At 42.2% G+C, this 23,227-nt stretch overlaps 3 protein-coding genes and 1 long non-coding RNA gene across 56 annotated transcripts in view, besides 3 other annotated features; 2 read left to right on the top strand and 2 right to left on the bottom strand.

The window, feature by feature from the left end:
* Positions 1-5,306, top strand: part of EPB42 (erythrocyte membrane protein band 4.2) — a 28,511-nt gene extending 23,205 nt beyond the window's left edge. For all 8 annotated transcript variants that reach the window (XM_011521351.3, XM_011521350.3, XM_005254225.2 and 5 more), the window contains 2 exons: positions 556-689; positions 5,069-5,306. In XM_011521351.3, coding sequence (XP_011519653.1) covers positions 556-689; positions 5,069-5,231 — 297 coding nt within the window. In that variant the 3' untranslated portion in view covers positions 5,232-5,306. The remainder of the gene's footprint in view (positions 1-555; positions 690-5,068) is intronic.
* On the bottom strand, positions 5,356-17,130 carry CCNDBP1 (cyclin D1 binding protein 1). Of its 6 annotated transcripts, NM_012142.5 has the most exons (11): positions 16,926-17,130; positions 16,654-16,713; positions 16,300-16,379; positions 13,253-13,334; positions 12,382-12,478; positions 12,135-12,208; positions 11,491-11,567; positions 10,858-11,138; positions 9,730-9,790; positions 8,072-8,118; positions 5,356-7,806 (listed from the first exon to the last, which is right to left on the bottom strand). In NM_012142.5, exons 1-11 carry the CDS (start codon positions 17,032-17,034, stop codon positions 7,692-7,694), a joined length of 1,083 nt encoding a protein of 360 aa, NP_036274.3. In that variant the 5' UTR covers positions 17,035-17,130; the 3' UTR covers positions 5,356-7,691. The 6 variants fall into 6 exon arrangements, 2 of the variants coding, with proteins under 2 accessions (NP_036274.3, XP_047288284.1); NR_027514.3 differs by lacking the exon at positions 12,382-12,478; NR_045998.2 differs by lacking the exon at positions 16,300-16,379.
* Positions 16,525-16,624: an enhancer, noted in NCBI's record as "active region_9310". NCBI's record gives its function as "activates an Ori minimal core promoter by ATAC-STARR-seq in GM12878 lymphoblastoid cells {active_cell/tissue: GM12878}" and the evidence as "EXISTENCE:reporter gene assay evidence [ECO:0000049][PMID:35858748]".
* On the top strand, positions 16,646-22,818 carry LOC124903478 (uncharacterized). The gene is made up of 2 exons (XR_007064604.1): positions 16,646-16,764; positions 22,595-22,818. It is a non-coding gene; the product is annotated as an uncharacterized LOC124903478 (long non-coding RNA).
* Positions 16,795-16,884: a silencer, noted in NCBI's record as "silent region_6384". NCBI's record gives its function as "represses an Ori minimal core promoter by ATAC-STARR-seq in GM12878 lymphoblastoid cells {active_cell/tissue: GM12878}" and the evidence as "EXISTENCE:reporter gene assay evidence [ECO:0000049][PMID:35858748]".
* Positions 17,105-17,404: a silencer, noted in NCBI's record as "silent region_6383". NCBI's record gives its function as "represses an Ori minimal core promoter by ATAC-STARR-seq in GM12878 lymphoblastoid cells {active_cell/tissue: GM12878}" and the evidence as "EXISTENCE:reporter gene assay evidence [ECO:0000049][PMID:35858748]".
* The window catches only part of TMEM62 (transmembrane protein 62), a 52,030-nt gene continuing 46,191 nt past the window's right edge, over positions 17,389-23,227 (bottom strand). For all 41 annotated transcript variants that reach the window (NR_144541.1, NR_144543.2, NR_144542.2 and 38 more), the window contains 2 exons: positions 21,234-21,352; positions 17,389-18,273 (listed from right to left, as the gene is read on the bottom strand). Coding sequence is in view for 37 of the 41 variants with exons in the window: in NM_001347004.1 (NP_001333933.1) it covers positions 17,947-18,273; positions 21,234-21,352 (446 nt within the window). In the remaining 4 variants the exon portion in view is untranslated. The remainder of the gene's footprint in view (positions 18,274-21,233; positions 21,353-23,227) is intronic.

Here is a 23,227-nt window from a genome sequence, read left to right as displayed (position 1 = left end):
TAAGTGAAGCAAAGGGAATTAATTCCAGCTGGTGGGTTTGGGGATGACCTTATGAAAGAGATGACATCTATGCTGGGCCTTGAAAAATGGGTACCCTTTCAGTACAGAGGTAGGGGAAGGCCACTGAAGACAGAAGAAGACAGCAAAGAGGTGTAATGGAAGGTAGCGTGAGGCGTGTGCTGGGGATGGAACAGTCCCTGACGGGGCTGGGATGTCACTTAGTCATGGGAAGAACAGGTGAGGTGGGAGAGGGGGTTTGGGGACACACCATGAAGAACGTTGAATACAATGTAAACTGAATTCCCAAGACAGTGGGAAACCCTCCAAGGGGTCTGCATAGAGGAGAGGCGACATCAGAAATCATCAGTGAAGGACCAAGGGTGGGAATAAATGCAGGAAGAGCAGGTAGAGCGGTAGAAGACATCAGCTGTGAAGTTTGAGTCAGCTTGGCAGAGATGAGGAAACTTACTGAGGAGGGTACAGGGGTGCATGGGAGGAGAGAGTGACTGCAGCTGTGCCCTTGGCATCCACACCAGGTATTGCCTCTTCCCACAGATGCCAGAGAAAGCAGAGCAGTATCAACCCCTCACAGCCTCAGTCAGCCTCCAGAACTCCCTAGATGCCCCCATGGAGGACTGTGTGATCTCCATCCTGGGAAGGGGGCTCATTCACAGAGAGAGGAGCTACAGGTAAGTGATGGCAGGCTTCTCATCCCCCTGAAATGTCTCAATGGGTCAGAAAGGCAGGGCCCAAGAGAGAAACTCTCTCTTTGCCATGTCCATGCAGACAGCAGATACCCCTAGAAACTAAACTAAAGGATTAGGGCTACCAAGTGGCTTCCCTCATCCTAGGACCACCATATCTGCAGGAGGATGGGAGTGAGGCAGGCTGTGCGGGCCCCTTGGGCACCCGCCTGCCCTGGTTGCTGCCCTGATCCTGCAGGGAGAGCCTGGGTGTTGCTGTGAATATAGGCGAGGGCATTAGGGCTGGGTATTGGAGAGTAATGAAGGGAGGACAGGCTATCTTTCATTGTGGTCAGAGGGCTACATTCTGGTAGTCACCACCACAATATACAATTTTGTTTAATTTATTCCCTTTTATTCCCATTTTCACCACCATCCTTCATATCCTTTTATTCGTACGTATAAAATGTGTACTGTTGCTTTCATGAGCCTGTACTTTTAACTTATATAAATTTATATTTAATTGCTTTCTTACTTTTCACTCAGAACTATGTTAAGATTTATGCCCATATGTCTTCTGCTACATAATATTTCATCGTGTACACCCACCACTTTCTACCACTCCACTCCACAGAGATGGGCACCCAGAGTGCCTCCAACTCTCTGACACTGCAAATAATGTTGCAGTGCACATCCTCACACAAGTCTCCTTATATACTTGTTTGAAAATTTGGTGGCCAGGCCCGGTGGCTCACGCCTGTAATCCCAGCACTTTGGGAGGCCAAGGTAGGTGGATCACAAGGTCAGGAGGATCGAGACCATCCTGGCTAACACAGTGAAACACCGTCTCTACTAAAATTACAAAAAATTAGCCGGGCACAGTGGCAGACGCCTGTAGTCTCAGCTACTTGAGAGGCTGAGGCAGGAGAATGGTGTGAACCTGGGAGGCGGAGCTTGCAGTGAGCCGAGATCACGCCACTGCAGTCCAGCCCGGGTGAAAGAGCGAGACTCCATCTCAAAAAAAAAAAAAAATTTGGTGGAGTCTGGGGATATATACCCAGGAATAGAATTGCTGGGTCCTAGGCTATGATGTGGTTTGACCAGGTACTGTCAGATTTGCAGAATGGCTGCAAGAGTCTCCACTCCCTCCAGCAGCACATGAGAATTTCTGTATTCCTACCCCTCCTTCATTCCTGGCAATACCCAGCTATTAACATTTTCTTCCAGTCCAATAAAAATGAAGTAATATCTTACTATTATTTTAATTGCAACTCTTCATATGTTTGTTAGCCTTTTATGTTTTCTTCTCAGTAAGTAGTTTGTCTTATTTTGCCCACTTTTCTTTTGGTGTTTCTGTGCTTCCTTCTTATTGATCTGTAGAAGTTTCCTGTATAGTCCAGGTATTAGTCCCTTGTTGGTTTTAGACGTTGCAAATATCTTCTTTCATTATGTCTACTGCATCCTTAGTTGAACAGACAGTATAAAGTTCAAGATACTTACTCCTACCCTCCCTGAGGTCCCTAACAGGTGTGTGGGTTACTGAGCCACTGCCTCAGCCTCATGAAACTTAATGAGACATTCTTGCCAAGAAATCAAGAGAAGGGACTGTCAACATTTAACCATACTTTTGTGGTCTCCCAAATCAGTTGTGGGGCAAAGCTCCCCAAAGGAAGTCTGTCACCAAAAGAAGGTTTATAGGCAGGCCAGGAGGTTGCTGACAAGGCTCCAAACACCACCTGCTGACATACTGACATCCTCTCAATAAGCCCTGCTACATCCACTGTGCTTAGCAATAAGCAAGGGTTCCAAAGCTATAGCTCTTTATATTAGTTCGTGTTCACGCTGCTGATAAAGACATACCCAAGGCTGGGAAGAAAAAGAGGTTTAATGGGACTTATAGTTCCACATGACTGGGGAGGCCTCAGAATCATGGCGGGAGGTGAAAGGCATTTATAACATGGTGGTGGCAAGAGAAAATGAGGAAGAAGCGAAAGTGGAAACCCATGAGAAACCTATCAGATCTCATGGGACTTACTATCACAAGAATAGCATGGGAAAGACCAGCTCCCATAATTCAATTACTTCCCCCTGGGTCCCTCCCATGAGGAATGGGAGATAGAACTCAAGTTGAGATTTGGGTGGGGACACAGCAAAATCATATCATTCCATCCCTGGCCCCTCCCAATCTCATGTCCTCACATTTCAAAACCAATCATGCCTTCCCAACAGTTCCCCAAAGTCTTAACTCATTTCAGCATTAATCCAAAAGTCCACAATCCAAAGTCTCACCCGAGACAAGGCAAGTCCCTTCTGCCTATGAGCCTGTAAAATCAAAAGCAAGCTAGTTACTTCCTAGATACAGTGGGGGTACAGGTATTGGGTAAATACAGCCATTCCAAATGGAGAAATTGGCCAAAACAAAGGAGTTACAGGGCCCATGCAAGTCCAAAATCCAGCAGGGCAGTCAAATTTTAAAGCTCCAAAATGATCTCCTTTGACTCTAGGTCACAATAATGCAAGAGGTGGGTTCCCATGGTCTTGGGCAGTTCTCTCTGCCCCTGTGGCTTTGCAGGGTACAGCGTCCCTCCCAGTTGCTCTCACAGGCTGGCGCTGAGTGTCTGTGGCTTTTCCAGGCAGACAGTGCAAGTTGTCAGTGGATCTACCATTCTGGGGTGTGGAGGATGGCGGCCCTCTTCTCACAGCTCCACTAGGCAGTGCCCCAGCAGGGACTCTGTGTGGGGGCTCTGACCCCATATTTGCCTTCTGCACTGCCCTAGCAGAGGTTCTCCATGAGGGTCCTGCCCTTGCAGCAAACTTTTGCCTGGGCCCCCAGAATTTCCATAGATATTCTGAAATCTAGGCAGAGGTTCCCAAACCTCAGTTCTTGACTTCTGTGCACCCATAGGCTCAACACCATTTGGAAGCTGCCAAGGCTTGCGGCTTCCACCCTCTGAAGCCACAGCCCAAGCGGTATGTTGGCCCCTTTCAGCCATGGCTGGAGTGGCTGGGACACAGGGCACCAAGTCCTTAGGCTGCATACAACACAGGAACCCTGGGCCTGGCCCACTAAACCACTTTTTCCTCCTGAGCCTCCGGGCCTGTGATGGGAGGGGCTGCCATGAAGTTCTCTGACATGGCCTGGAGACATTTCCCCCTTGATCTTCAGGTTTAACATTAGGCTCCTTGTTACTTATGCAAATTTCTGCAGCCAGCTTGAATTTTTCCCTAGAAAATGGGTTTTTCTTTTCTATTGCATAGTCAGGCTGCAAATTTTCCAAACTTTTACGCTCTGCTTCCTTTATAAAACTGAATGCCTTTGACAGCACCCAAGTCACCTCTTGAATGCTTTGCTACTTAGAAATTTCTTCCACCAGATACCCTAAATCATCTTTCTCAAGTTCAAAGTTCCACAAATCTCTAGGGCAGGGTCAAAATGCCACCAGTCTCTTTGCTAAAACATAAGAGTCACCTTTGCTCCAGTTCCTAACAAGTTCCTCATCTCTATCTGAGACCACCTCAGCCTGGATTTTATTGTCCATATTGCTATCAGCATTTTCGGCAAAGCTATGCGACAAGTCTCTAGGAAGTTCCAAGCTTTCCCACATTTTCATCTTCTTCTGAGCACTTCAAGCTGCTCCAATCTCTGCCTGTTACCCAGTTCCAAAGTCACTTCCACATTTTCGGGTATCTTTTCAGCCATGCCCCACTCTACTCATACCAATTTACTGTATTGTTTGTTTTCACGCTGCTGATAAAGACATACCTGAGACTGGGAAGAAAAAGAGGTTTAATTGGACTTACAGTTCCACATGGCTGGGGAGGCCTCAGAATCATGGCAGGAGGCAAAGGCACTTCTAACAGGGTGGTGGCAAGAGAAAATGAGGAAGAAGCAAAAGCAGAAACCTCTGATAAGCCCATCAGGTCTCCTGAGACTTATTCACTATCACGAGAATAGCACAGGAAAGACCAGCCCCCATGATTCAATTACCTCCCCCTGGGTCCCTTCCACAACTCATGGGAATTCTGGGAGATAGAATTCAAGTTGAGATTTGGGTGGGGACACAGCCAAACCATATCACTCTTCCAAACAAACTCCAATACAATTACCAGGAATTGAACCAGAAGGAAGTCACAGATGACAAAAGGAACAACAGATGTAGCTTGGAAGCCCTTAGGATGTACCTCTTCTCAACCATGCAGTTGCTCAGCATTGGGTGGCTCCTGTCTTCTATTCCTTTATAAACACTTCCATTTTAATAGCAAGGTACTTAGATGTTTATTTCTGCATGGTCCACCTCTTCAAGCAAGGAAGGATCAAAGTCACTGGGACCAGCAGAGCAATGAACCTGGGACAGAACTAGCACCTGCCTTTTCCTTTATTTCAGATTCCGTTCAGTGTGGCCTGAAAACACCATGTGTGCCAAGTTCCAGTTCACGCCAACACATGTGGGGCTCCAGAGACTCACTGTGGAAGTGGACTGCAACATGTTCCAGAACCTAACCAACTATAAAAGCGTCACCGTGGTAGCCCCTGAACTATCAGCTTAAACTTCCAGCTCTATCACCACTCTCCTGCCAACCCTTGTTCTACAATCTAAACCAAACATGTGCTAGGAAGAGAAACTTTGCGTCTCAGTGTTTGTGTTGCTATAAAGGAATAACTGAGGCTGGGTAGTTTAAAAGAAAAGAGCTTTATTTGGCTCACGGCTCTGCAGGCTGTACAAGAAACAGTGAGGGCTTCAGGCTGCTTCCACTTATGCAGGAAGATGAAGGGAGGCAACGTGAGCAGAGATCACAGGGCAAGAATGGGTTGAGGGGTAGGGGTAAGTGCCAGGTGCCAGCCTCGTTTTAACAGCCAGCTCTGGGGTGGGGGAGGGACATATAGAGCGAGAACTTACTCATTACCCCACCAATGGAACGAAGCCATTCATGAGGGATCCAAACACCTCCCATTAGGCCCCACCTCCAACACTGGGAATCCAATTTCAGCATGAGGTTTGCAGGGTTGAATATCCAAACTACATCACTTTATCAGATAAATGAGTAGTCATTCAGGTTGAAAAGGTGCTCAGATACCTTTAAGGAGTACATTCAGATTGTTCAGGTTCAGGTTTTTTGCAACCATTTTACTGCTCATTAATACATTCATTAACTTACAGATAAGGGAAAGGACCTAACACTTAAATCATTCTAATATTTCTGATGAAGTGGGATATTATCCCAAAATGGAATTTTTAGGTAATCTTAAAATTACATTGATCAAGCTGGGCTCGGTGGCTCACATCTGTAATCCCAGCACTTTGGGAGGCTGACGTGGGCAGATCACCTGAGGTCAGGAGTTTGAGACCAGCCTGGCCAACATGGTGAAACCCCATCTCTACTAAAAATACAAAAATTAGCTGGACATGGTGGTGTGCATCTGTAGTCCCAGCTACTTGAGAGGCTGAAGCCAGAGAATTGCTTGAGAACCTGGGAGGCGGAGGTTGCAGTGAGCCGAGAGTGTGCCACTGCACTCCAGCTTGGGGGACAGAGCAAGACTCCATCTCAAAAAAAAAAAAAAAAAAAAAAAAATTACATTGATCAGTGCTTTCCCTGATCATTATCCTTAAAGATCCAAACATGACTGAACGAAGTTATACAATACAGGACCTGAGAGAATAATTCAGCTAGAGGTAAGTCTTTATATTAGAGTTCTATATTCATTAAGTATCCCACAATTAAAGTCTGATGTTAATAACATGAATTTGGTCCAGTAGAGAAATATAAAAGTATATAAAAAATAGGCTCTATATGAAAGGATAAAAGAACTAGACTGTTGTACAATGTTATTATTTTGTTTATGTTATTTTGTTGCCTTGACACTCTGTCAGTTTGATTTTAGTTCCTTCCCTTCATGACACTTGTTAACAATACAAAATGGCACTTCAAAACAGTAAGCTAAAACTCATTTGGCTTAAGGAATTTCAACCCCAACCCCAAGTATACATTAGTCACTCAAAGAATGACTGCTGTTGCTGATTATACCTAAAGACAGCAGAAAGGCATATGTTATGAATTACACCTACAAAAGGAAGATGATGGGCATGAGAGGTGGCGGAGACCTGTAGGACATGCATAATGCCCTATTCAGCTCACCAGAATATACATCATTATAGATTTACACTGCTTTCCAATATGCAGTCTTCTAGACTGATGCAAAAGTATAATTAAGTGGTGATGGTTTTGCAAAAGGATGAACTGAAAAGGCCCTTAAAATTACATAAAATCTCTTACACACTAAAAAATTTTTGATTTATAAAAATTTGGTATTTACATTTGGGGACACACGTAACCAAGGACAACACAAGTATGTATAAGGAAAATAAATCTGTTCAATAAGGTGGGCAAACCTAACAAATGAGCTCAATGCCAATATATTTTAGAGACATGGAGTAATCTGTGATAATATTCAGAAGGACTTGCTGATAATAATATATAACATGGTGAAATACTAAGATGAATTTTGGAGTCATCTTTTATAAATAAAGTGTTTTGTTCTAAATATACTTCTGATTAGAATCAGATTTTTAAACCTACAAACCCAAATGAAAGCAATGTTCTAGTCTCAATCCACTGTATTTCTGGTAAAAAGAAACTTTGGAAGGGCACTCATTTAATCACTGGCAAGTTAGCATTTTATTGAGACCATCAACATCTTTACAATGAAAACAACATACTTTACTGCAAAAAGAGAATAAGGCAGCTTTCCTAGGAATCTCTGAGAAATGACTCAGGAATGAGAAATCATGCAATTATTTTTCATATATAGCACAGAAAAATATACGCATATGGTTTATAAATAGGTGTCAATCTGGCCTAACCAACAATCTTTGGTAATAGTGTCTCTTGCTAAATATAGATAGGCACTCCCTTTCAATCCAGCAAGCATTCTAGCTCCATTTTAAAAGCAGGTATCAGAGCCTGACCATGACGATGAGAGGGGAAGAGAGTACAAATGAGCCTGAAAAGTCATAATTCAAGTTCACTCTGAGTGAGCTCCTTGATTCTATTCATGCAATGATCAATGGCATTAATAAGTAAAGGGATCCAACTATCTTCTGGCTGAGGGGTCACATGACTTGCTCTGTGAATAGAATAGGAAAGAAGTAAGTTAAACTTATTAGGATGTCAAGGGAAAACCTATCCTCAGGAGGGAGCACAGGGAAAACTAAAATTTTTTTAAAGGGAAGCTTCTTTGCAGAATCTCAGCTGCCCCACAACTGAAGCTGAAAGAAAATCCCACACCCACCCTTTCCCACTCCTTGAAATGGGAGCTAGGGAGTTGAGAACGTCTGGACAGCAGTTCCGTTTTACTCACAAAAAGCTATCTGAGAAGTCTTCATACTTACTTTGTAATTTCAAGTGCCTTCTTTAAAACAGATACAAGTTTCGCAGACTAGAAAAGAAACACAGAAGTTATTCACCCTGAGCCCTACCATAAAAAGGTGAGTTCAAATATTTTTAAAGACCCAAGTAATAAAAAAATTATTTAGAAAAAGGACCTGAAGGAAGTATGCAAAATTTAAAATGCTGATTAGGTTAGGGTGGCAGGATTACGGGTTCTTTTCTATTTAGCAAGATCTTATTAATACTATTGCTATAACATTTTAATAAGATTTTTTAGATCTAAAATATTTTCAATTTAAAAAAGGACAGAAAAAGGAAAATGTAACCTGAATTGGTCCCAAATGCTGATAGCTCAAAATATAAAGCAGAAATGACTAAGGTTCCTTTAAAAAAAAAAAAAAAAAAAAAAAAAAAAAAGCGCATTAAGAATTTTAAGAACACCAATATAAGGATAAGATGGAGACGTTTAATATAAAATATCAATACATATAAGATGCATATGCAGTACACATTTTAAAATTGCTAGAGCAGATACTATGTTTGGGATAGCTGACTAGGCATATTGCTAAAAATGTTTATTTCTTAGGAAGTCAATTTTTTAAAAGTTAATGCCAAAAAAATGTTAATGCCCAAAAGGATCCTATTCTACTTCAAGGTGTTTATACATCATGAAGACACATCTGATGAATCTAATTTCCATTATCCAATTTATCAAATATTACTAGAATTGATACATTCAATTGTAAAATATAAGCCATTTGGCAGTTTTACTGCTCTTTCCAATAACATTAGAGAGAACAGAACTCTCTCTAGTAAAGGGCACAGAACCTCAAAGAATACAATAAAATCAGATTTTTATAAGAAAGTTGACTCTCCATAGTTAAATCACACAATGTGTTTGTATTAGAACAGAGTATGTTTCTGGAACACTTATTTCTGCCTTGTCTAGAAATCAGAAACATGTGACCTCAGCCAGCTACTTCATGAACAGCTGAAGTTCAATCTAATTGCTGCCTAGTCTAGAAATTAGAAACTTGTGACTTCAAGTTGAGAAGTTCCTAAATTACCGTGTAATTAAGACTTTCTTTTCAAAGAAGCTTTTTTTTTTTTTTTTTTTTTTTTTTTTTTTTTGAGACAGAGTCTTGCTCTGTTGCTCAGGCTGGAGTGCAGTGGCGCGATGTCGGCTCACTGCAACCTCCACTTCCCGGCTTCAAGCGATTCTCCTGCTTAAGCCTTCCAAGTAGCTGGGATTATAGGTGCATGATGCCCGGCTAATTTTTGTATTCTTAGTAGAGACAAGGTTTCGCCATGTTGGCCAGGCTGGTCTCAACTCCTGACCTCCGCCTCCTGGAGTGCTGGGATTACAGGTGTGAGCTACCGCGCCCAGCCTTAAAGCATCATTTTCTAAGGCCTTTGGGCTTTTCTGAATGATTACCCAGGTGATTATGGAAGAGAGAACTACCAAAGCTCATGGCTATTATAATTCAACTTCAGTGAATATTTATCAACCCCAAACGCATGCAAGAACTGTGACATTACTGTTGTACTTCCATCCAAATGTGACTAATAAATATGTACCCTATAGCTTACAGGAAATACTAGTGATTAGTGAAATTCTGCCCATTTGTTCTGTAGCTATTCCCTCAAAGCCAGTACTTACATTGATTCGCACGGTCAGGTGACACATAGGTGGATATATGCTCAGAGCCAAATCATCCACACTAAGAGCAGAAAACAAAAGTAATCATTAACAAAAAAACGCAGCCAGGTTGTTTCTAGTACACAACTATGGATGTCAACAGTGAGAAACTGTCCCAGAAATGCCTGTCAGTTTTTAAAATTGGGCAACTGGGCAACCAATACAGAATGAGTTCAACCAGTCTTTATTGAAACAACCATACCCCATTTCACTAGGAAGCTGGGGGGGAAATTCCCTTGGTTCATAGTAGGGTGCATGATCAATTCAGTCAAAAATGTGAGGATGTGAAACCATCAGTTTAATAACTAATATAGGCAGGCAGCCTTCATCAGTGGAAGCTAAAATTAGAGTAAAATATACCTTTACTAAAGTGAGCACCACTTTAAGTGATCAAATTTAGTACCACCAATAATGAGGCAAACCAACATCATGTGCCTCCCTAATATGATAAAATGAGATGTACAAAACACTTAATTATATGATATTCTTGCAAAAATGAGAACTAACAATCACGTGAATCCAGGTTGTTGGATATTTTACAAGACAACTGTCCTGGTTTCTTTTTAAAATGTTGATTAAAAAAGACTACAAAGGATAGGAACTGTTCTAGATTTCAAGAGACTAAAGAGATGACAATTAAATGCAATGTGGGACCTTGACAGAACCCTGAATTTATATGACATTTTAGATACAGACAACTGGGGAAATCTGAATATTAGATAATACTATTATATTCAATGTCAAATTTCTTGGATGTGATAATAAGAGTAGGAATAAGAGTACTTCAGGAGATACATACTGAAGTATTTAGGGGTGAAATGTCATTGCTGTCTGCAATTTACTCTCAAAACATTCTGGAATAAATATGAAACAGTATCTCTTGAGAAATAAACCAATATAGGAAAAAATGTGAACAACAGGCAAATCTAATAGAAGGATATAGGGGTGTTCACTGAAGGTACTTTTTAAACTTTCCTATAGGTTTGAAAAATTTCAAAATATAAAAAAACTGTGAAAACCTTGAGGTGACAACACAAATTGAAATCAGAACGCTGCTGCTCAGATGTTTCAAGTGGGGATCCCGCTTACCTAGGGCTGATTTCATCAGAAATATCCACAATGTCATCCAGCTGTGCCACCTGATCCTTCTTCCCATTCTCTGCCACTAACATCCGAATTTTCTTCAGGCAGGCTTTGGATGCTCTCACCAGCGCAAGGCATGGGATTATGAGCTCTTGATCGTCCTCTGACCAATACAAGTCCTGATTGCTGGGAAACCCCAACACATCATCCTCATGATTGTGGTTGTCAGAGTTGTTCTCCTCAGTATCATTCAAGAGGCCAGAGTAAGGGTCACATTCTTCCACAGCCTAAGACATACCATGATGTATGTGAATGCAAAAAAAAAAAAAAAAAAAAAAGGCGAGGCCTATTATTATACTTTTACCACGATGTCTTAGTTGTCCAAAAATCTTAGCCAGCCACTTCACTAAGGGCTACAGAGTTGAATCACTTCATAAACCCTGTTCTCGCTCTCCTTGTCCAGTAAGGGAACACAGAGGAGTGGTACTAAATCAAACACTAACAAGCAGTGGGAGATGGAAGACAGAGGACAGTAGTGAGAATGGGACCTATCTGGTCAATGCTCAGGAAATCTCTCTTTATAATTAATTCTCATCTACTAGTCAAGGAGTTGCCTTCCAATGATGGAGGTCCCCTCACCTGCTCCATTTCTTCATGTGCATCCTTCACAAAATCCACATTCTTGGTCAGCATCAAAAGAGCTGCAGCTTTGTTATCTATGAGTGAAAAATCAGAAGCACTAGAATTAGAGGAGAAATCCAACAATTTTCTTATGACTGCAAGGAACAATCACATTGTTCCTATTGATGGGAGTGCCAAGGACGGTTGACAAGGGTGCGGGTTTAATAAAAAATTCTCACTACATCCCCTGGTATCTAGATAGGGGTTTAAAAAGCTTGTATTTTATTCACAAGAAGAAATAAAATGGTCACATGATGTTTATCATCATGGTCCTCTTGGACAACCACTGTTTTGGCCTAGCTGTCTCTACCTCATAACTGCTTCAGTGTGCTCCATAATACTACTCTTGGGGTAGGACTAGGAAAACAAACCATACTTGTTCAACAAGAGACAGCCACAGCAAGGGGGAGTGGAATTTAGAAGTATGATAACTAGAGAATGACAAAAAGTATTAATACCTACCTATTAATTTCATTAATAAAATATATATATTTCACTAGACTGTTTATATAAATTCAAATACATGTTACAAAGCTGGAAGCTAGACATGAGGTCTCTTTGCTTTGGCCAGCAGACATGGCCCACTGCCCACTTTCACTCACCTCTTGGTATCTGAGGCATCTGCTGGCACGCAACCCAGACACTGTTGTAGGAAATAAGGTCATTGTTCTCAGGGCTGGGGAAAGAAATCAGTAAGGATATATTAATAACCTAGGTTCCTGTCTCCTAAAAAGCTTCTTCCTGCTGGTCATTACTCTCAGCTGTCAGTAACTTTGCTGTTAAAATGAGCTTTTCCCCTCTGAGGCAAGGAACCCCAATAACTGGTAACCTAAACTGTGGCATCACTACCTCTGAGTTGGAGTGACGGAAAGTACTTCCATGAGCTGAGCCATGCCATCCACGATGTCCAGGGTGGCGCCCCGTACCAGCTTTCTCAGGGTGATCCCTGTGGCCAAACCCAAAGAATAAGCAACCTGGTGTTCTTTTCAGAAGCACCATCTGCTTTCCTGAGTCTAAGCATTACAGAACTATAAGGTAATGTACACCCACATGCTTTAACCTACATGCTAACACAAAACTCAGGTCTTACTTATATCCCCATGGCATTTTCTTGCCCCTCCTGCCATTCCTTAGTGTTTTCTTCAAAAGAGATTTGGAACAAAATCTTTCCGTGACACCATGTATTCATTCATTAAGGACCGTGATCTCTTAACAACTGTAGATGAAACACTTGAAGTTTAAGCCACTTGAGTAACCCTGAAGATCCATGACATGTATTCAGTTATAATTTTGGCATGATTATAATCAATGCATGATTCTACAGGCAGGGCTGGAGGCCATTTAACCTATGCAGATGTTCAGAAATAGGGTGAGATATAACATGGGTGGAGGAAAGTAAGGATGGCCTGAGCCTGCATATGGGGCTGAGAGCCAGCCAGTATCTGTGGTGTTAAAACGGGTTGAAGAGGGAGAAGGCTGTGAGAATTAAAAGCCTTATGAGTCAGGCAAGGCAGGGGAGATGGGAAGTCATAGGAACAAAGCATCTGTATCTTAGAATAATGGCTTGTTTATATAAGTCACTTACATTACAAAATTATCCTTCACTGTATTTTATGGGAGAAAGTTACATGTTCAAGTTGGGTAAAGGTAAAAGTCACAAGACATAATCCACAATATTAGCAAAGATCTACACGATAAATGCAACACTTATGTGGCTTACCCTGATCCTTTGGAAGCAAATAGTACACTGCAATAAATGCCTTGATGGCAGCATGGACTTGTTCACAGAACTTCTGGGTTTCCTATGAAAAAGGAAACAGATTAGATCAAAGTGGTCAACCCTTCTGCTGTGGAATAGAGCAGATATTTCTTTTCTTTTTCTTTTCTTTCTTTTTCTTTTTTTTTTTTTTTTTTTTTTTTTTTGAGACAGAGTCTCACTCTGTCACCCAGGCTGGAGTGCAATGGCGCAATCTTGGCTCACTGCAACCTCCACCTCCCAGGTTCAAGCAGTTCTCCTGCCTCAGCCTCCCAAGTAGCTGGGATTACAGGCACCCGCCACCACACCCAGCTAATTTTTTGTATTTTTAGTAGAGATGGGGTTTTGCCACACTGGCCACACTGGTCTCGAACTCCTGACCTCAGGTGATCCACCTCCCTTGGCCTCCCAAAGTGCTGAGATTACAGGTGTAAGCCACTGCACCCGGCCTAGGGCAGATATTTCTACAGCATCATCAAACATTTTCTGAAGTCCTGGTATGAAGGCAGGCCTACTATACTCATCACATACCAGGGAGGAGTTAGCTATATAGTAGATATTGGGCTGACAACTCAATAAACCATTAAGAAACAGCAGGAAAAAACTTATTCCTGATACTCTGTATCCCAAGATATTCATGATATCTTAGACCAGGAGCTGGCAAACTGTGGTCCTCAGGCCAAGTCAGGCCCCACTGCCTGTTTTTGGAAATGAAGTGTATTGGGACACAGCCATACTCACTGGTTTTAATGTCTGTAGTTGTGTTTGCTCTATAAGGGCAGAGTTGGGTAGTTGGTTACAAAATCTAAAATATTTACTAACTGGCCCTTTACAGAAAAGAGAGGGAGGGAGAGAGACAGACAGACCAACTGACAGACCATGGTTATTAAACCATTAACCAGGTCTCTCTCTTTTTTTAACAGAATCAGAATATGTAACTAAAGGTAACTAGCATGGACTCGACAATGCTCCATGTTAACTATTTTCCTTCTAGGTGGTCACTGGCTTTCTCATCTTCCTTGTCCTCAATTTTCTGTTAAATTCTAAGTCAATACTATACAAATGTGGTCCAGGTTGGAGCCAGTCTACAAACTGTTTGTGACCAGTCAGGGATGAGATAAGCAGTGACTGAGAGTGTTTAGAAACTTTTATGGCAATTTGACATTTATTCAACATCCGAGCACATAATTTTATTAAAGTATCATTCCATACAGATTGGAATTTAAAAAACAACAACAACAACAAAAAAAAACCAACAACCACCCATCTTTTAGTAGGACTAAAGTGGTGAGATCTCAAGAAGGCAATGATGATTCATGTGTATGTATGTGTGTATATACACACATATATACATATATGTATTTATTTGAATATATGTATATACTTGAATATTTGTATATATTTCAAATAAATCCAAATTCTAACTTTTCATCTATGAGTGAAACTACTGTCCTGAGCATGTATAGAAAATCAGTTCTATGCTGCCTCCTTGTGGTATCTTACTTGCAGTGAGTTTTAGCAGCAAGTCCTAAGTGCATTTGAAAGAAAGGGGTTAGCAGATAAGAAAAATAAGGTAATATTAACTACTCTTTTTGAAATAAGTATTTTCCATGAATCTTTTGAAGTGCTCTCATACAATTCATCTCTTGTTTCCTCATCACAAATCTCAAAGGTAGGCCAGGCACGGTGGCTCACACCTGTAATCCCAACACTGTGGGAGGCCAAGGCAGGCGGATCACTTGAGGTCAGGAGTTCGAGACTAGCCTGCCCAACATGGTGAAACCCCGTCTCAACTAAAAATACAAAAATTAGCCAGGCGTGGTGACAGGTGCCTGTAATCCCAGCTACTCGAGAGGCTGAGGCAGGAGAACTGCTTGAACCCGGTAGGCAGAGGATGCAGTGAGCCCAGACTGTGCCACTGCACTCCAGCCTGAGTGACAGAGAGAGACTCTGTCTCAAAAAAAAAAAAAAAATCTCAAAGGTATGTAGGAGGAGAGAGTTTATCACTGTAGGTACATGCAGCAGAAGATATTTATATCCTTTCCAAACACCTATATATGTAGACTGAAAAATTAAAACAATTGACTATGAAAATCAAATAAGGCAATGAATATGCCATTTTAAAAGAATCTTACTCCTATATTAAGCATACACAACTCTAGAAAAACTGAGCATAGAGCATACGTGGTCATAGCCAACATGTTTACTTTCATTAGTTTTATAATAAAGGAATATTTAAAATGCATAAATCTTTGTTCTAGCAATTCTACTTCCGGGAATTTTTTCTACCAATATACACACATACACAGAATTAGGTAATTCATCACGACACTGTTTGCAGTAATTCTAAGTTGGAAGGTCCAGAACAGTGTTTATGTATCATTTGTGTAAAAAGAAGCTGACACATACAGATAAATGTATATGAATGTATATATGCACAGAATATACGTGGAATAATGCAAAAGGAACTGGGGGAGACAAAAATGAGAAAGTGGGTGGAAAGGTAAACTTAACACACTTTGATATCTGTTGAATTTTGTACTATCTACATATGTTACTGATTAAATATAAAAAATAATATAAAAAGGGTATTATGCAGTATAACAGAATAGGTAGCTTAGACATCAGATAGACCTTGATTTAAATTCTAGCCCCCCTGCTTTTTTTTAAATCTTAAGCTGAGCTTCTGAGCCTCCTTGCTCATCTGTCAGATGGCCATCAAGTATGTGAAAACACCCAGCAAATAAAAAGTGCTTAAAAAATTATCAGAAGGGAAACAACCAGGATAAACTTCAGACTGAACCAATATTTATAAGACCTGCCTACTCCGCGCCAGGAACTGCACTTGGCAATTCGGTCTTCACAACAATCCTGTGAAGTAAAAACGGTAACCTCACTGGACAGATGAAGAAAAGAAATCTCCTGGCGTGCGTGCAAAAGGTGGAAAGAAAATTAGAGGATTCCTAAGGTGTAACTCGGCAGCCCAAGGATTCCACGAAAGTGAAGCCCACCTGTGGAGACGGCAGTGGAAGCTGAGAGAAGACTATGGTCAGAGTCGTGGCTTCCCTTGACACAGTCACAGCTGCCTCATCTGGGGGGTGGCCGAAGAGGAGGCAGGTGCCAATACGTTAGTGCTGCACGGACTTGGAAGACTTCCCTTACCGACCGAGACTTCTCAAAAACACTTCCCGAATGTCGAGGTTAGAATTCTATTTCACCCTCTCAGGTGCTGAGGTGGGTAAGGTACCTCACAGAAAGGATGCAGCGGGGGAGAGCAGTCCCCTCCGTGGGGGACAGCGGGAGGAAAAGGGGTCGGGACGCTGGAGGAACTGAGGCAAGGGGAGCCCGGAAGGAGGCGCACTCACTGAGTCTTCTCCAGAACATCTCTCGATTAAACTCCTCGGTGGTCTCCTGGGCTTCGCCGACTTGTGGGTGTGGCGTGTGGGGGCCGAACGGTGGCGAATGGAAAAGCTGAGGTAAGCGGAGCCACCTCCCTCGCCCAAGCCCGGCTCCCCGCCGCCGCCCCAGCCCGCCCTCTCCGCGACCCCGAGCCCGGCCTCTCCCCGACCCCGAGCCCGGCCTCTCCCCGACCCCGAGCCCGCCCCTGCCGTCGCCCGTTCTAACTCCGTCAGCTCACCCCGCACTCGAGGCAGGAGCAACCGCAGCTCCTCCGCCAAGTGCCGGAGCTGCTCCAAAGGCGAAGCCAGGGTGGGGACTGCGGCTGCAGGTGCAGTTGCGCTCGCCATCTCAGTCGCTTGCCGAAGGCCGCAAACACAGGCCTCCGCTGCCACTGCCGGAGCCGCACTGCGACAGCCGCTCCACTTCCGGGCCACAGCGTCAAGGGCTCGTTTCCGTCAACAAGCCGTCCAGCCCCGTCCCAGAGGCCCTGCCCTGCCTCCTCCCGCCACGAGGCCCGGCCCCGCCCGAGGTCCAGCACCACCCATCCCGTTATCAGAGACCAGGCCTGGCCCCGCCTCCTCCCGCCCCGCCCTGTCCCCTGAGGTACAGCACCAACCATCCCACTCTCAGAGGCCAGGACAGGCCACGCCTTCTCTTGCCCCTTAGGCCAGGCTACACAAGCAAGCCTCAGGCTCACCGTCTTTCTTATTCATCATTCATTCATTTATTTGATTAGTTGAAAACACTTCCGACTAAGGAAGCAGAGAGCCCACAATCCTGTGGGAAAACAGGCCTGGGAACTAATATCTCAGGGGTAGTGAGGGTCGGGCCCAGATCCTCAAAGGTTCCCTGCCCCTGAAATTGCACCTTTGACAGCTGCTGAATTCCAAGCACAGCGGTAAGTGCTTTACATGGGGTAACCCTAAAAAACACACTGGGCCTCAGACACTCCCGTACACACACCCAACCTCTACCCTGTGGATGTCCTAGATAAGGGTTTTCTCTTCACAAAGGTAAATCAACTCTTTGCCTCCTTAGGGAGGGAAGGAATAAAGGCATTATTTTTGAGACTTTTCTGCAGTCCATTCTGCAGGTATCAGTAGTGGGTAATCCCTCCAACGTCCAGGACTCCAAACGAGCAGCTGCTCCCTAAAGCTCACCCACCAATCCTGGCCCTCCACCTGCTACTGGGGTAGAGGCCTGGGCTACAGACACAGAGGCTGGGCTTCTGCCCAGCTGCCAGTGGTGAGACATGGCCTTCAGGAGCTCAGGTGGCTTTTTAACTGCACCATGAAGATTCCAAACTTGGTGGAGTTCAGTGTCCACACATAACGAATGAGAACAGGTGTCAGCAGTGTCAACCAGGTCCGCAAAGGGGAGAATAAAAAAGCTAGGGTGCCGTATGTTGCATAAAGAAAGTAGCAGGAATAAACCTGCCAGATGTACAGCAGTAGCATAAGTAGGTGAACAGGCATAATTTTCAAGTATTTTCTTTGATGGAGATGAGACCTGAAGTTGTGACCAAAGCACCGCTGCAGCAAGCTCCAACACATGTAAGCCATCAAGGGGATGTTAAAAAACGCCAGCTGGAAAAGAACAGAACCATAGCTTACTCCCAAGTCCTTGGAAGAGTTTGGTCTTAATAATGCATTATTAGTGGATCCTAAGACTATGCTGCTATCTGTCTTGGCGTTAGCTAATTTACTTCAAGCACAGTTGCTTATAACACAACAGCTGACTTGTGGCTAGTTGTGTATTTGCCCATGTCCTTTTATTCATCTTAGAGGCAGGTATCATTTAATTTATGCTGAAGTCCCAACTTGTAGTACAGTATCATATACACAGTTAATACCCAATGGTGTTAAGCTGGAATTGAACTGAGTAAATGTATACACACACATACAACAACCCCTCTTTTTTGGTGGAGTGAGGGGAGGACTTGGCTATCAGTATTTTTTTTCTTACCTCCATTTTTGTTTGAGGTAGCATGATAAGTACTGGAATATAAATTAGAGTATCTAAATTATAATCCAAGTTGAGCTGCTGTATGATTCATTCATTTAACAAATATTTATTGAGCACCCATTATGTAGCAGGCATGAGCTAGGCTCCAAGTTGGGGACACAATGGCAAACAAGTTAGAAAAGGTCCGTCATAGAGCTTACATTCTAACAGGGAGAAGACAGACAAAAAAAAAAACCAAAAAATATAATTACAGATCGTGATTAGTTCAATGAAGGAAAGAACTGGGTCATGAGAAGGTAACTGGGAGAAAGGCTCTCAGAGGCCAGAAGGACAAGAATGAATCAGCGGAGGGAAGTGCATTCTAGGCAGAAGGAACAAATGAAAAGCCCAGAGGTGGGAGAGGTCTTGGCCTCTTTAAGGAAGTGCATGCAGAGCATGAGCCAGGTGGAAATTGGGGCAGTCGGCAGGACCCAGATCACTGCTCTGCTTCAAAGCATTTCAAGCTGAAAAGTAAGTGAGCTGATTGTAAAGTTTTTAAAAGAGCACACTGGATGCTCTGTATTAAGCTGAGAGTAAGGAGGCAAGAATATCAGGGAGAAGACCCAGGCAAGAAATAATTACAACTTAGATTAGGAAAACAGAAATGGAGAGAAGTGGATGGATTCAAGATATGCATTGGAAGCAGATCAAATAAGGTAGAGCTTGCTGGTGAAATAGATACAGGGTATGAAGGAAAGGGAATAATTGAGGATACATCTTGGAGAAATCAGGTGAATGGTGGAGTCATTTATTAAAACTGGAAAAACAGAGAGGAACAGGTTTGGGGTGGAAATAATGTTCCTATCAGAGAGACATCACATGAAGTTGAGATGCCTGTTAGACATCTGTGGCCATTGGATATAGAGGCACTTGAAGTGCAGAGAAGAGGTCTAGATCAGAGATATAGATTTGGGATTCATGGGTCTGGATGATACATAAAATCCATTATTAGTGTACTATTTATTAGAATATGAATGTAAACATTTACAAAGGAAAAAACCCTGCCTTTTGGTAAGGCTCAGGATTCATTTGGTATGAGAGAGCTCCTTAGAGACAGCCTCCATCAACATAATAGAAAACTGCAATGAGGCTGGGTGCAGTGGCTCACGCCTGTAATCCCAGCACTTTGGGAGGCCGAGACGGGCGGATCACCTGAGGTCAGGAGTTCGAGACCATCCTGGCCAACACAGTGAAACCCTGTCTCTACTAAAAATACAAAAATTAGCCGGGCATGGTGGCAGGCACCTGTAACCCCAGCTACATGGGAGGCTGAGGCAGGAGAATCACTTGAATTAGGGAGGCAGAGGTTGCAGTGAGCCGAGACGATGCCATTGCACTCCAGCCTGGACGACAAGATCGAGACTCCATCTCAAAAAAAAAAAAAAAAAGAAAAGAAAAGAAAAGAAAACTGAAATGAACCCAGGACCTACTCATGTATATAATGCTGCTATGCAGAGAATATTCTGGACTTGGGTCAGTGTTTGCTAGGCAGAAGTCTTTCCTACTTGGCTGTCTCTAATCCTGTTGGATCATGTTCTACTGCCCTGTTAGAAGGCCATGAACTTATTTTGAATGTTTTTGGATCTCTTCCAAAACTTCAAATTTTGGTCCACTAACTCCATTAGGTGAGTAAAATAAAGAAACTGTTAGATAAATACTTTTCAAATCTGTTTATGTAGTTTTTCTATGGATCAAGGTTCTTTGTGTGTTTATTTTAAAGGAATCAAATGTAAACCTAATACATCAGTTTGTTTCCTAAACAAGTACATTGCTAGGAAAGCCCAGGTCTGGTTTTTGAATAATGCAGTTTCCACTGAATAACTGACCCATTTTTTTAATGTGTCTATTTTTTAGTTTCCTCCCTCTAAAATATTTTCCTTCTTCATCATCATAATCAGTTTTGGTTTACTCAGAAATCTAAAACTTTTTCTACCATAATCCCTTGTTTCATTTTTTTGTCAATGAAAAAGCACAGTGAAACAAAAACAACAAAAACTTCTTTCACCTCTTATAAACACTTCATGACAAAAATGTATTTTAGGCTAGGCATGGTGGCTCACGCCTATAATCCTAGCACTTTCGGAGGCCAAGGCAGGTGAATCATCTGAGGTCAGGAGTTCGAGACCAGCCTGGCCAACATGGTGAAACCCTGTCTCTACTAAAAGTGCAAAAATTAGCCAGGCATGGTGGCACATGCCTGTAATCCCAGCTACCCAGGAGGCTGAGGCAGGAAAATCGCTGGAACCCAAGAGGTGGAGGCTGCAGTGAGCCAAGATTGCACCACTGTGCTTCAGCCTGGGCGACAGCAGAACACTGTCTTGGGGAAAAAAAAATGTATTTTAGATGTTTACATGAGAGTGGTGGAAGGAGTTTAGGAAGCACTTTAAAAGCAAATGAAGCTTTTATTAAAGACTGCCCTGCAAGTAAAGTAGGAAAGATGATCTATGGTACTTAATTCTGGATTTTGGATTTAATTCATAACTGTTATGCAATTAGTCTGACAAGTCCAAGATGTTCTTAAATTGCTTTTCTGACTTCTTACCTGGAGAATTCCAATTATAAATGTTATGCTGCCTTGTAGGAAATGTCCATTAACAAATATCCCAAAGGAAAAGCAGCAACCAAATTTGCCATCAATGATTTCACCAAAAAACCATGGACCTAAAAGAGGCAATGGACAAAAAAGGAGGAGATTAAATAACTATAATTCTGATTACATATATCATGAGATACATTTATAGGAATAAAGCAGAGATATGAGACTAGCCATCTATAAGCATTTTATTTCATAGCCTTCCCTCTTTGCTAGTCTCTGTGTTGTACTTGATATCCTTGCTAACCAACTATTTTTTGGATTGTGAAATTGTCTTAGTAGACACTATACCTAGAACAGATATGTGTCTTATAGATTCTAGAAACAAAAAAAGCACACTCACATTTTTGAAAATTCCATTGCAATAATAACCTCAATATAATGCATTAACATTTCCTTTAAGATGTAAAGAGGTATTCCACAGAAGTTAAATTTCCAGATGATTGAGATTTACTCCTTAAAGCAAAAAAACTTCAACTACTTTTTGAAAGAAATCTTTCTAAGATGCACTCGTTAATATAATGAATGTATTTTAACCTCTTCTTGAAGGCCCACAGTCATTACTTTGTATATCAACTACATAATCACGGTTACCATGTAGAAAGTTTAACTTGCTTCAGTTTTCTCATCTGGAATGCCATGCTGACTTTTCTATCCTCCCTATTATTATTTACTGCCCCATTCTCAGTGTGTGAGTTTCTAGGTATTATTATTATTATTATTGTCATTTTGTCTTGTAAGTGTGCTGGTCTCCATAAGAGTGTCAAGTTGTTTGTCAAGAGTGATAAGGGACAGTTAGATTTCCGTTTGCAAAATGCAAATACTAGGCCAGGCAGGGTGGCTCATGCCTATAATCCCAGCACTTTGGGAGGCCAAGGCCGGCAGATCACCTGAGGTCAGGAGTTCAAGACCAGCCTGGCCAACATGGTGAAATCCTGTCTGTACTAAAAATACAAAAATTAGTCAGGTGTGGTGGCACATGCCTGTAATGCCAGCTAGTCGGGAGGCTGAGGTAGGAGAATTGTTTGAACCCAGGAGGCAGAGGCTGCAGTGAGCCAAGATTGCACCACTGTACTCCAGCCTGGGCAACAAAGCAAGACTACATCTCAAAAAAAAAATGCAAATACCATCATTTGCTGGCAAGAATAGGGTTCAGCTTTAAAAAGTCAGAGGCAATTTTCTCAGATATACTTTATATAAACTGCATTAAAGACATATGAGTCTAAAAAGGTGTTTTGTCTTCAGATTTCAACTTTCTGAATGGAACAATTCTTCCCTATTAATGTATTTTGTTTTGTTTTGTTTTACAGCCCAGGAACCAAATTACTTGCTTTACCTCATTGTGTAAGACAAGCGTCAAAAACAGCTTCAACCTATCTTGAACAAGAGAACTTACCTCCAAAGGTGATCTGCCATAGCTTACACAGAATCATAAAGTGTTATATTTTCATTTGTTCTCTGGTGGGAGTTACTAATGAGCAAAGTGCAAAGGGAGGATAAAAGTGTAAAATAAAGACTAAGACTAGGCAACAAATAGGCTAATGTACTCCTAATTGACTTTTAGTCACTAAGAAACATAAGCAAAAAAGCCTAAAAGATTTATGGTGATTTCTGCTTTTATAAGTGTGGCTAAGTGACTTTATAAGTACAGTCATGCATTGCTTCACCATGAGGATGCATTCTGAGAGATGTGTCCTTAGGCAATTTTGTCCTTACATATCATACACAAACCTACATGATATAGTCTATTATATACCTCCAGCTCCACTAGAGTCTTATGGGACCACCACTGTATATGTGGTCCCTTGTTGACTGAAATGTTTGTCATATGCCACATGATACTACTGGGTATAATAATACAACAGAAGAGTGCAGATATGCCTGAACTATTGCTCATCTCAGTTTCTCTCTTTTTTGAGCTGAATTTTTGAGAGCCACACATT

The sequence above is a fragment of the Homo sapiens genome, chromosome 15 (genome assembly GCF_000001405.40).
Source record: "Homo sapiens chromosome 15, GRCh38.p14 Primary Assembly".
Classification (NCBI taxonomy): domain Eukaryota; kingdom Metazoa; phylum Chordata; class Mammalia; order Primates; family Hominidae; genus Homo; species Homo sapiens.
The sequence above is the reverse complement of the archived record's forward strand: the minus strand, read 5'-3'. Positions and strand labels throughout refer to the sequence as shown.

Bases quoted from the DNA above. Each gene is read 5' to 3' on its own strand.
- CCNDBP1 (NM_012142.5), bottom strand. From the start codon at position 17,034: ATGGCGAGCGCAACTGCACCTGCAGCCGCAGTCCCCACCCTGGCTTCG. The intron at 11,139-11,490 runs GTGAGGGGACCT...GGTATGTCTTAG, and splicing joins CACATGAAGAAATGGAGCAG to GCTGTGGAAGAATGTGACCC. The intron at 8,119-9,729 runs GTAAGTACTGGC...TTTCTTTTCTAG, and splicing joins ACCTGACCGTGCGAATCAAT to TCTGCGAAACTTGTATCTGT.